The 12,920-nt window shown below is 48.2% G+C and overlaps 1 long non-coding RNA gene across 1 annotated transcript in view, besides 1 other annotated feature; it reads right to left on the reverse strand.

Annotated features, from left to right (window-relative positions):
- LOC107984696 (uncharacterized) overlaps positions 1–12,920 on the reverse strand; it is a 76,716-nt gene that overhangs the window by 22,715 nt on the left and 41,081 nt on the right. The gene's annotated exons all lie outside the window — the stretch shown is intronic.
- Positions 7,951–8,451: an enhancer, noted in NCBI's record as "H3K4me1 hESC enhancer chr14:99496427-99496927 (GRCh37/hg19 assembly coordinates)". NCBI's record gives its function as "activates a minimal SCP1, AML or CMV promoter by ChIP-STARR-seq in naive H9 embryonic stem cells {active_cell/tissue: H9 hESC(naive)}" and the evidence as "EXISTENCE:reporter gene assay evidence [ECO:0000049][PMID:30033119]".

Consider the following 12,920-nt stretch of genomic DNA (forward strand, 5'->3'; position numbering starts at 1 on the left):
ACGTTCTCACTCTCAGGCATTAAAAAAGGCCTGGTCTCTCTCCAGACCCTGGGACAGGGTGGCAATTCTTGAGAGTCACCTGGTGCTTCTATGGGAGAGGAGGTCCCATCATGCCGCCCTGGTGGAAGCAGGGCAGTCATGACCCTGTCTCGGAAGCCTCAGCTAGTGCACTGAGCAAATGGAGGCAAGCTTGCTGAGAGGCTTTCTCACACTCGAGTTTTCCAAACTAGAGGAGAAAAACCGTAATTGAATGGATAAGAGTATAGACATGGGGCCATATTACATAGGTTTGGATTCTGGCTCTGCCACCCACTAGCAGTGCAACATTGGCTAAATTAAACAGCCTCTCTGAGCCTCAGTTTCCTTACCAGTAAAAAGGGCATAATTATGGTACCTCCCATGAGTTAATCGTGTACAGTCCTTAGCACAGTGAGGGCCAAGCACAGAGTAAGCACATGTATGTCACCTGCTGTTACTGTTGCCTATACACACCAGCTCAAGAAAGTGGCTCTTCCCTGAAAGATCTAAAATGTTTTAAGAATGGTAAGAAGGCTGCATGACATGCTGGACTTGGGGAGACAGGAGGGGAGGAGAAGCCCAGGTCTGCCACATAATCTGCCTTCTAATTTCAGTTTCCTCATTGATGGAAAGGAGGTAATGAAACCTTCTGCAATGGACTGAATGTTTATGTCCCCCCAAAATTCATATGTTGAAATCCCATTCCCCTAAGGTGATAGTATTAGTAAGTGGAGAGTTTCAGAGATGATTAGGTCATGAGGGCAGAGTTCTTATGAATGGGATTAATGCTTTTATAAAACACACCCGAGAGAGCTCTCTCACCACTTCCACCATGTGAGGACACAATGAGAAGGTGACTTCTATGAACCAGGAAGCAGACTCTCTCCAGACACTGAATCTGCTGCCACCTTGATCTTGGATTTCCCAGTCCCCAGAACCATGAGAAATAAAATTCTATTGTTTATAAGCCACCCAGTCTGTGGAATTCTTTCATAGCAGCCCAAATGGACTAAGACACCACCCCTGCTTGCTTATCAAAGCTGTAGGAAGGGCCAAATGAGATCAGCATTTTCTTAACATTTTTTTCTATAATCCACAATAAAAAATAGATACCAAATCCAGTACACACACACATAATTGAACCAAAAATTTCACAAAACAATTATTACCTTTATTATGTATAATGTACTCTGATGCATTTAATTCTCTTTGATTTAACTTTTGGCACTTAACAAAATTGGTCTTATGAGCTACTAATGAGTCATGACCTTCTATTAGGAAAACACTGAATCTTAGAATAAATGGGAGATTAGTTGGTAAAAGTGCAGAGTGATTATCAAGCATGAGTTTTCATGTTAGTATTGAGTAATGTTCCAGTTAAATGTTACTGCATATCAAGTAACCCTAAAACTTAGTGGCTTAATAAACCAACAATTTTTTTTATTAACTCTCACAGCTGAGAGGATTGATTGAGCACAGCTGGGTGATTCTCTCCTGAATCAGCTGAGGTCATCTGAAAGCTCAATAGGCTGGCCTCTAAGATGGTGCACTCAGATGGTGAAAGTCAATGCTGACTGTTAACGGGACTGTCTATGCATGGCTTCCCCATGTGGCTTGGATTTCTCGCAATATGGTGGCTGGATTTGGAGGGAAAGCAAACCAAGAAGTCAGAAGCAAAACTGCCAGGCCATGAAGAGCCATGCCTGGACCTGGCACTGTGTCACTTCAGCCATAGTCTATTGGTCAAAGCAGCCACAGCATCATCCCAGATTCAAGGAGGTGGAGAAATAGATCCACCTCTTGATGGAAGGGTGGCAAGGTCACATTGCAGAGGAGTTCATGGAATGGGAGACATGGCTGCCTCCATCACTGGAAAATGCAATCGGCCGAAATTGTTGATGGGGCAGGACCTTCTCAATCCCACCTCAACTCCATGACAGTGGGTAGGTCACTTCACCTGTCAGAGTCTCAGTTTTCTCAGCAGTGGAACAAGGGAATTGACTAAATATGTCAAAAGACCTTCCACCTTTACAGCACTGCATTCAGAGTAAAGTTTGGGAATACATATCCACCATCTAACATTTTGTGCATTTGACATAGGCTAAAATCAATGCCTCTAACTCATTTTGATTCTCACTTTGTATTTTTGACAAGTCCTGAACATTTGCCATTGGCTTTAGGGTCAGAAAATTTGCCTCTTTTTCCTCCTATCAGCCTGGCAAAGTCGTATTGACAAGATCCTTATGTGTTCTCCTTGCTTTTCACTCCTCAGAACCACCAAAACATGCACAAGATTCTGATTTGAGGTACCCATTTGGCCCAAACCAGACAGGCACACAATAAATATTTGCAGCCGGCAGGGTAACTTGTTCTCCATCGGTCTTGCACAAGCTACACAGGAAAGAAGCAAAACCCACTAGGATTTTATGAAGCATCATTTTGTCAGGCTTAGGAAAGGTGGAAAAGAAATGCCGCAGCAACAACCACAAAAAGAACATATCTGTCAGACTTCAAGATAATTCCAAATATAAACCAAAACGACTGCTTTTCAGAGTGAATCATATTTCTCGGCCACTGAATCAAGAAGCTATAGGCACTTAAAGTATTTGAATCTGTTCTCCTTCTCCTTGGATACAATCGCTAATCTTTCTTCCTTGCCTTCTTTCTTTTTTTCCTGGGGATGCAACCTGCTTACCTGGCACATAAAATACTCATATGATGACACCCAGGCTTTAGAGATTTCCATGAGAATCAGCAAACCTTATTTTAGCCCAATATAGAGAATGTGCAATGCATGGAGGGAACTCTGGACTGATTCCCCAGATAAGTCATTTATTTCTTTCCTCAAAGAAAAATCCAATATTCTGAGATCAGATGCATATTGAAGCTTTGGTGGAAAGGAACCAGACAGGGGCTGGATTAACATGTTCCCATCAACGTCTCCCCCACACAGTGATCTGTGAAGTGAAGGGAACCTCCGTGGTCGAATGTTCCATATTGGGCAGGAGCAGTGCCTCCCACACAGTCATTCCCACGGAAGGCACACACCATCCTGGGATGGGAAGCTTCCCTTCTTATCAGCACATTTGGTCTCTTAACTCAATGTCACTAAATAATGTGTCAGAGAGCTGAAGCCACCTGCACCCCAGGGCCCCTCCAGGTCTGTGCTCGCCTGCTGGACAGGGATGGGACAGGGGCTTCCATAGCTGTCCAGGGGAGGACAATGGCCAACAGACAGCAAAACATCTGTGCCGATGTTTTGTCGTTACACAAACAAACACCCTGAATAAAACATTTCCACATTGTTAGGAAGATAACTCAATGGGTGCACTGGAGGAAACTTCTCCCCTCTTTTTAGGAATTAATTGAGTAAATCTTCGGATCGAGCAGATGTCTTTTGCCAAGGCAAGGACCCTAACGAGGCTGTGCCCACTGGATGAGGAGTCCCCGTGGCCTCGCCTTTCCCATTTGAGAATCAGCGTCTTGGCGCTCCCCCGAAGTGTGCCTTCATGGCCCAAGCCTAGCAGCGGGAGGACAGGTGCCCCCACAAGAGTCCGGCCCCCCAGAAAAAACCCATCACAGGGCCCTCTCTCTGCTGGGGCAGTTTCCTTTCCCTTCACTTTGCAGTGTATCCATTTCATTCTAGACAAAGTGGTGGGTTTGATGAGACAAGAACAAAGCGAAGAACAAAGCGGCAGAAAAAATCAGCTCAGGCCTGAGTCTGATCACTTACCTCTCTGGTCTTCTATCTACTCACCTTGAAAATAGTGATCCTATTCCAGGCTGTGCCTACCACACAGGCTTACTGAAGGGATCAACCCTCACCCACACCAGAAAAAACATGCAAATCATAGGCAGCCCCCACCCAGGCCTACTGAATCAGACCCCCATGGAGAGAGCCTGGACATCTGTGCATTAGCAATTTTCCCCAGATGATTCTAATATGCAGCCCTGGTTAAGAACCATAGTTTAATCCAACTCTCTTTTGAGAAGGCCAAACAGCTTTTAAAACCGCAAAGTTCCTGATAGCCTTCCCATCTCTGCTGTTATGAGAGTGCGGATTGGCCCCAGTTGCTAACGCTTTTAAACTCTCTGAGGAAAGAGTGGACCCCTGTGGATCCCTGGGTGTCCTCAAATGCTGATCAATTCACAAAACCAGGTCCCTGAGGGAACCTCCAAGAGCAGCTCATCCCCTCTCACCCTCTGGGCACTGTGGTCTGGTGTTGGCCTTAATCACCTACAAAGAGGCATCATCTGTATCTGCCATCTACAGAGGAAGTGCTGTGCTGAGAGGTACTTACAGCCATGTGACTGTTCTAAATGGGAAAGTATGAGGTCTTAAACACTCTGAAGGGAATAAGACAGTTTGGGGGAGACATGCATGGATGATTACCATATGCTGATCACCACACCAGACATCAGTGGTTAAGCAGTGGTGTCCACATGGTCCTGCTTCCAGGGGGACCACTAAGCAGATCGCACAGGAAATGCCCTAGTACTACACACTGGGGGATTTGTTTTCATGTTGCACAGGAAGTGTCCCAGCACTGCACAATGGGGGATTTGTTTCCAGGTTGCACTCTGAGCAGGAAATATATCGTCATGACAAGATGGGTTCAATGGCTCTTACATCACTTACTATCTAAGAACAGCAGTGATCCTGTAGAAACCATAGCACAGTCCTTATGTCAGAGGCCAGGGGATGACACATGGGTCAGAGGGAGAGAGAGAGAGCTGCAGGGTCACACGATCACCTCCAGCCCAGAAGCCATCAAGGGAAGCAGGGTCTCCTCTGGGGCCCTTAAAAAGGCAACTTTGTGAGGACATGTTAACAAAGCAAAGCCTTCCCAAGACAAGCCTTGGAGTGAGAGGGTGATACCTGAGGGTGTAGGAGACAGAGCAGGAGACACATGGCAACAGATCCAGACAGGCCAGGGCTGTTCCCCCAGGCATACAATAGAAGGCTCCTTCCTGTCCTCCACAAGGGAGATAAGAGACCAAGAACAGAGGCCCCTGTTCTCCCTCCAGTGCTTCAAGTATATGAAAAGATGTGTGATGGTGACTGCAGACTCTGTCCCAGGGTGTGAGTCCACCTATGCTCAGCAAGTCTTTCCACCATCTTCCTCCAAGCCCTGGGCCAAGGAGCCCCCTTCCGATCTTCAGCAAGACCACCTGGCCCTTAGAGTCAGGATTCTGGTGTTTAAGATGGGTCATACAAGACACTTTGTCTCCTTAAGAATGTGGTCTCAACCAGACCCAGATCTGTCCCAAGTGTCCAATACAGTCCACAGGTTGTTCTGGCCAGAAATGTATGGTTGGCACCTTGTTCTGGAAATTCCTACATTGTCATAATTAGTCTTCCCTCCTGGTTGACTTTGGAGCAAATTTCAAGTCCATTTGAGAGGGTAATGGATTGGGAAGGCTGCTCGGCTTCGGGTCAACACGTCTACAGGCCACAGAAGTGAAGGAAGAGCAACACTCTCTCCTGCAGGGACCACACCTGGGCATTTACTAAACCCTCTCTCATCAACTGTCTCCCAGGAGCCTCAAGGTAGAATGAGTGCTACTATTGCATTTGCTGCTTTAGGGATGAAACACTGGGGCTCAGGGAGACTGTGAGTTGTTCAACATCACAGGACTGGTGAGGGAGAAAGGAAGGACCTTGACCCAAGCCTTCCTCAAGGTCTTGCAGCCCTGCAGGAGCATGTGTGACCAAGAAGGACAGCAGCCACCTATTGGGAACTTACTCTCAGGAACTACAGTAAACATCCTAGAAACACCAAATTCAACTCTCATAAGACATCAAAGAAATAAAATGCAGAGAGGCTAATTATCTTCTCAAGGCCACACAGCCTGACCATAGCAGAACCAGTATCTGAAGACATCTGACTCCAGATGTGTTCATCTGTACCTATGCAACCTGTCTTAGCCTATCTGACTCCAGAGCTCGGGAGATTCCCCCAACCTCTGCCCCCAAGCAATTTCCAAACTGCACTCTAGGAAGCGCTAAGTTTCCTCTGCAGAACCTCCAACCAAGCACCTGATGGAATGTGGCGGCAGGCGGTTCACTATGACACTGTCCAAGGAAGGACTTGGCCCAGCTGCCAGCTCCTGGGAGATACTGAGAAAGGCACTAAAAGGCTCAAGGAGCCAGGTGCAGTGGCTCATGCATGTAAACCCAACACTTTGGGAGGCTTGAGGTGGACCGATCACTTGAGGTCAGGAGTTCGAGACAAGCCTGGCCAATATGATAAAGTCTCATCTCTACTAAAAATACAAATACTAGCCAGGTGTGGTGGCAAGCGCCTGTAATCCCAGCTACTCCGGAGGCTGAGGCAAGATAATCACTTGAACCTGGGAGGGGGAGACTGCAGTGAGTCGAGATCAAGATCTCGCCACTGCACTCCAGCCTGGGCAACAGAGCAAAATTCTGTCTCAAAAAAAAAAAAACAAAAAGAAGGCTGGGGGAACTGGGCACACTGGAATGGACACATTATGTCACACCAGAAGGTCACCAGATAATTACACTCCAGGGAAGGACCCAGAGGACACGTCATTTACTAAGATCTCAGGAATGGGCTGGCGAGAGGCACACCTGCATCCTGAAATGTACAGCAGCAGTGTCCCTCCTCTGGCTGACGATGGAAAAGGTCCCTGCAGAACTGGACTCCCCAACAGCAAGAGGGATAATAGGTTTCCCAGAAGCAGAGGCCAGGTGGTGACTCCCTCACCACCAGAAGCCAGGTAGACACAATTATCATAAGTAGCCAGCGGGGAGTGGGCAACAGTCTACATTCACAGTTTGGCCCCAGAGCTATTGTAACTCTATTGCCTCTGTCATAATGCTACCCGAAGAGACCTGGGTGGTTGGGGCATTGCACAGAATGTCGTATTTATCTCTTACAGCGATGATATATTGCTTATTGGGTCAGATGAATAAGAAGCAGCCAGCAAAAGGGAGGCCTTGGTAAAACACATGCACCCCAATATCCCAAAAAATGTTAGGGACCCAGTGGCCAGGGGCATCAGAGAACAAAGTAAAATCCAAAGTATTGCATAGGGTATCCCACCACCAAGAAGGAAGCACTGTGCCTGACAGGCCTGTTTGTGTTCTAAGGGCAGATATTCCAGACCCAGGAATATATCAGATGACACAAGCTGCTGCCGACCTCCGCAGGAACCAGGCTGTAGTACAATCAACCCTGCCAGTAGGGCCGTATTACCCAGAAGATGCTATGCTATTAGAAATATTGGTGGTGGGGAAAGGAGCTGTGTGGAGCTTGCAGGAAGCCCCAGAGAAAAAAATCACAGTGCGGGAGGCCCCGGGGGTTCTAAAGCAGGCATGTGCCATCGCAATAGATAACTGGGCATCTTTTGAAAAATAACTCCTACCATGCCACTGGACTTTGATAGAGACATGTTAATACACACACGCTAATAAGTGACCATGTATCCAGAAGTGCCCATCACAAGCCGGCTTCTGTGGGACCCACCATGACCTGAGTCATGCAGGCCTGCAGCAGGCATCACGAAGCAGACCTGGTGCCTCTAGGATGGATTATGAGTAGGATCAGATGCCACAAGCAAGCTGCACCGCAGGTAGCCTGGCCCCTCTTTCAGGCATCACAGCTGTGCCGACCTCTGTCCTCAGCTCACACCAGTGGCTGTGTGTGTGTGGCCTCCCTTACCAATCCTCCTATCGGGCAGAGCTTCGGGTGGTACCACTGTGTGTGGAAGGAGAAGGGGCTCGAGGTTAGAATATGTATGGACTCAGGAACAGTGGTGGACAGGGCTTATAAAGAGACATTGGGGACAAGAAGGTTTGGGGTCACGGCACGCAGGTGGGCATGTGGGAGAGGCACAAAGTGGGATGGTCCCTGTGGCATGTGTTAATTCCCCCCAGAGAGCACCCCGCCCCAGCCACCCCCCATGGTGCATCTGCAGCAGGAGAGACAGAGGCTGTGCATGGGGTCCACCGGCTCCTCCAGGGCTCTCTTTCCCAGTCATATGGTAAATGGATAAGTGCAACAACCCCAGCCCAAGAAAGTCACACTGACCAGGGACTCAGGCCACCAGGTAACCCACTGAGACCAGCAGCGGTTCCAGCTGAGAGGGGAGGGTCTTCAGCAGGTGGTGAGGAGCTCAGCCATGAGCACCAGCTGCAGCACTAAGAGCAGCAACCACACCAGAGCTGTAGCTCGTACAGTTAACTTGCTCTTCTAAGTTCCCTCCAGGAACACAGTGACCAGAATCCTGAAGGAACCACTCCCCAGGTGTAGATACAGTGGCCTGGGGCAGCACAAGAGTGGACACTGAGCTGAAAACAGAGATGCTCCACCTGGATCTCCCTTAACCAAAGGATTTGTTGGCCCAGCTACCAACAGCCAGCCTCCAGCTGTCATCCCCATGGGAGACTGCCTCAGCTGCAAAGACCTGCGCCACCCAAGAGCACACTCTTCCCAGAGCACCCCCACCTGGCCACCCACTGAGACAGGAGCACATGGGACTGGCCATTCAGGCCTGATACAGACAGCACTACTGGGTCCCATACATTCCCCACAGGGCTGGCTAAAGTGTCAGCCTCCATCCAATCCTCCTTCCTCCCCTGCCCACCCATAGGTATTGATCACTAATAAATACTCTGCCTGTCAAACTCCATTGCAGCATCTGCTTCCAACGAGGCTGACTTGCAATTGCCGGGGGTCTGGAGGGGAGGCAGGACTCCACTGAGCTGCTGCACTTTTCCCAGTTTTAGATATTGGGGTATGTCTTAAATTGCATTTTTGAAAGGTCTCCACCGCAGGACTAGAAAGTTGCAAAGACTATTGCGTGGCATAGGACTTCCTCCTAATTGCAATATTCCTAAAGATAGGACATAGGAAGCAAGAGGAAAACAAAAGACGGGGAATGAAAAAGAGGGGAAAGAAGAAAGGTATCGGGGTCCTCATCATAGTACAAGGCTCTTTGGAATGCTCTGACCCCATACTGCCCTTTCTCCCACGGTTACACGCAGGTGCACATGCACAGACACACACACACACATGCACACATGCAGGCATACCGATACACAAACACACACACTTTCTGCATTCAGCTTGTCTCTCCCCTAAGGGCAGGGAGAGTGTTGTATTCCTTTGAGTAGCACAGGTACAAGGCCCAAGCAAGGGACATAGCACTTGCTCAGTAAACGTTTGTTGAATGACCTGTAGTGAGCCGTTAAGAGGTTTGTGCACAAGCATCTTTGAGCTCATAGATCTACATTGCTTTTGATTACAGTAGCTCCAAAAGGAGTCTTGAAGTCAGGTAAAATGATTCCTCTTACTTTATTCTTTTTTTCAAAATTATTTTAGTTATTCTAGTTCCTTTGTTTTTCCATGTAAACTTTAGAATATAAAATCTTGATGTAATGTTGATAATGGTTGTATGAAACCTCTTTATCAATATGGGGAAAATGTATATCTTTATATTTTTATTGAGTCTCCCAACATATGACCACAGCATGTCCCTCCATTTATTTAGACCTCCTGTGATTTTTTTTAATCCACATTTTGTAGCTTTCAGTATAAACATTTTGTTCCAGTTTTGCTAGATTTACACCCAAGTATTTTTGAACATTTCTAAATGGTATTGTATTTATAATAAATGGTATAATAAATGGTATTGTATTTTCCATTTATAATAATAGTATAATGTCTCTATCTTAAACAAATGTATGTAGGAAAGTATGAATTGATTTAAATAAAATTATTAAGTAAGACCAAGTGCACAGATAGGGCAAAAATTGTCATGTGTGACGCAGCTTGAGAAAGCCTGCACTGTATTACATATGCTCACACTAACCCTGCCAGGTGGGTATTACTGGATGTGTTTTACACAGGAGGAAATTGAGGCTCAGAGAGATAAAGCATCTTGTCTAAGATCACACACAAAATAAGCGTCAGAGCTGGTGTGTTAGTCCATTTTCACGCTGCTGATAAAGACATACCCAAGACTGGGAAGAAAAAGAGGTTTAATTGGACTTACAGTTCCACATGGCTGGGAGGCCTCAGAATCATGGCGGAAGCTGAAAGGCACTTCTTACAAGGTGGTGGCAAGAGAAAATGAGGAAAGATGCAAAAGCGGAAACCCCTGATAAAACCATCAGATCTCGTGAGACTTATTCTCTACCACAAGAACAGTATGGGGGAAACCACCCCCATGATTCAAATTATCTCCCACTGGTCCCTCCCACAACACGTGAGAATTATGGGAGTACAATTCAAGATGAGATTTGGGTGGGGACACAGAGCCAAACATATCAGCTGGGATGCAAACCCAAGCCCTCCCAGCCCCAGGGCCCCCTCAGCTTCAAATGTACCATGACTGTGGAAGGACAATGACAGGCAGACCATGTGAGGGAAGATATCAGAGAGATAGGAGAGGAAAGCTGGGGAAACAGGTAGGAAGAAAGATGTTGTTGTTGTTGTTGTTGTTGTTGTTGTTGTTGTTGTTGTCATCGTCATCTTGATCACACTAGCTCACTGTTCTTTAAAAACTCAGAAATTGGCCAGTTAGGTCAGCTGTAGGTCAAGACTTGGAAAAAAGGCTTCCTGTGGGGCGTTGCCTAACCCAGAGGGTCTTTACAGGTGTGTCTGGGACACCAAAGCTCCTCTCTCCACTCGGCCATCCTAATTAGCTTTTATGCAAACAGCCTCATCAGATTTAATACAAATCTCTCTCTCCCAACAAGAAGTCTCATGACATCACCCGGCTCCAGGGAAGCTGGGAAGATGGCCTTCCATTTGACGGAAGAGGAGGATTAGTTTTTATGACCTGCCCCTGCTAATGTGCGTTTAGACGAAGTGGGATGATCAATACAAGTGGAGGATGCTGATTTGACTCGCCGGAGTTGATTGAGGAAAGGGCATTGCTCCCCCTTCCATTTTTATAAATCACTTTAAAGGCCTATCGATCTTCCACTGGACACAGAGGGGCAATGACCCTGGGGGAAGCTTCTTAACCCCTTCTGCTATCCCTGCTCCTGATGTAAGCTCATCGTCTGTATGCTGTGGATGCCGGTGCAGCACCCGTGACTTAGGCCAGTGGCCGTCCCAGGCCCAAAGTCTGAGTCTGGCTGAACCCATTCATCAAGTGCTGTTTTCAGGGCATTTTGGAAATAAGGAAGCACCCCTAACTTCTACACACACGTACACACCACACACATACACACACACACACATATGCATAGGCGTGCAGGTGCCCACACAAGCACACACTTATGAGCACCATCTTAAACATACATGGAATTCTAGCACTAAGGTCAACCGAAGGCATGAAGCTCACATACAAGCAATCAGTCTGTAAACCACCGCTTCACACCAAGACAAAAGGGCCACTTGGTGTTGCTCCAACATGTGCCTCTCTCTTCCAACTGGTGTTTTCTCAGATGTCTTTTCCAGTCCTGTTTTCATTCTCCTTGGATCCCACCACTTGAGAAGGTAAGAGAATGGTGGGTAATGCAGTTTGTTCTGGGCCACCCAAATGTCAGGGACAACTCTGATCTGGAGGGTCCCCTCCTGCCTCCCAAGACATCACCCACACTCTAGGCGTGCTCATTACCAAGCACAAGCACAAGTGCACAAAGGCAACTCTTGCAGTGGCCTAAGATGTTATTTCAAATGCCGCCTTGAAAGAGGGCTTTGGGATATTTTTATAGCTTAGAGCAGAATTGGTCCCTGGAGCAGCGTCACGATCAGGGATCTGCATCCCCACTTCCCTTCTTTTAGGAAAGAAAGTTGGGAATTGGTCACCCCTGCAGGCTGACACATCTCTGCTACAGCCCTTCTTGGGGACCTTCATCATCTTGGAGGATTGGGACCCCACAGGACCACACACGGAGAGGTGGGGCCCAGCTGGCTGCCAGGAGCCCTGTGGGCTTGGGAGGCAGGTGAGTCATTGGAGGTATGGGTGTCGTGCATTACAGTGAGGGACTCCTAAGGACAGTTTCCACTGTCCTGTGATAAGCCGACCTCGGGGACCTCTGAAAGGTCATCTGCTGGCCCAACCCGGGGTCCAGTGGACACGTTTCAGGGGCTGGGGCACTGGCGCTTCTGGGAAGCAGGAAGAGGAAATGGCAGGAAGGTGAGGAGCTGCTCGGCCCCAGTCCTAACCATGAGGATGCCTCCTCCCTAGTCACAACCAGCGCCATCTCTTTTATGGAAGTGAACCCCAAACTTCCAATAGGGTACTGACTTAGACACTCTGGACTCTATCTTTTAAGGAAAGGGGAAAGAAAGGGGAGGGGGAGGAAAAGGAGGGAGGAAGAGAAGGAAGGGAGAGGGAGAAGGGAAGAGGGGAAGCGGAGGACAAAGGCGCCCCTTGCTGCCTCCTCCTCCCTCCCTCCCTCTGCCCCTCCCCCTCCCTGCTCTTTCTGCGCCCATATTGACCCTCCAGGCCACCGTCTCCAACTTGGCTAACAGGCTGATCTTTCCAAAGCACCAAGAGATCACGTCACCTCCCACTTAAAACCCTCAGTCTCGTGCCACCAAGAGGATAAAATCCTCTTCTGTCCTAAGCTTCCGAGCTCCCCTAGAATCTGGCCTGGGAGACCCCTCCTGAAGCCCCGCCCGCCCAGGGCCATGCACACCTCCCCAGACACCAGACGTCTCAGGGTTTACACGGGGTGCCCTCCGCGGCCCCCTTCCTGTCTTCACATCTATGTATTCTGTGTATCATTACCCCAACCTCTGATGGAGAAACAGGTTCAAAGTGATTGAGTCGCATCCCCAAGGTCGCACACGGATAAGCAACCTAAACCCAAGTCCTCATGCTCTCTTCCCCTGGGAGGGGTCGGACATGGAGGCCCGCAGGCGTTTTCTCCACCTTCCACAGCCTTGATTGTGCGGAGGCAGCAGCGCCACCCA

The sequence above is a fragment of the Homo sapiens genome, chromosome 14, assembly GCF_000001405.40.
Source record: "Homo sapiens chromosome 14, GRCh38.p14 Primary Assembly".
Lineage (NCBI taxonomy): Eukaryota > Metazoa > Chordata > Mammalia > Primates > Hominidae > Homo > Homo sapiens.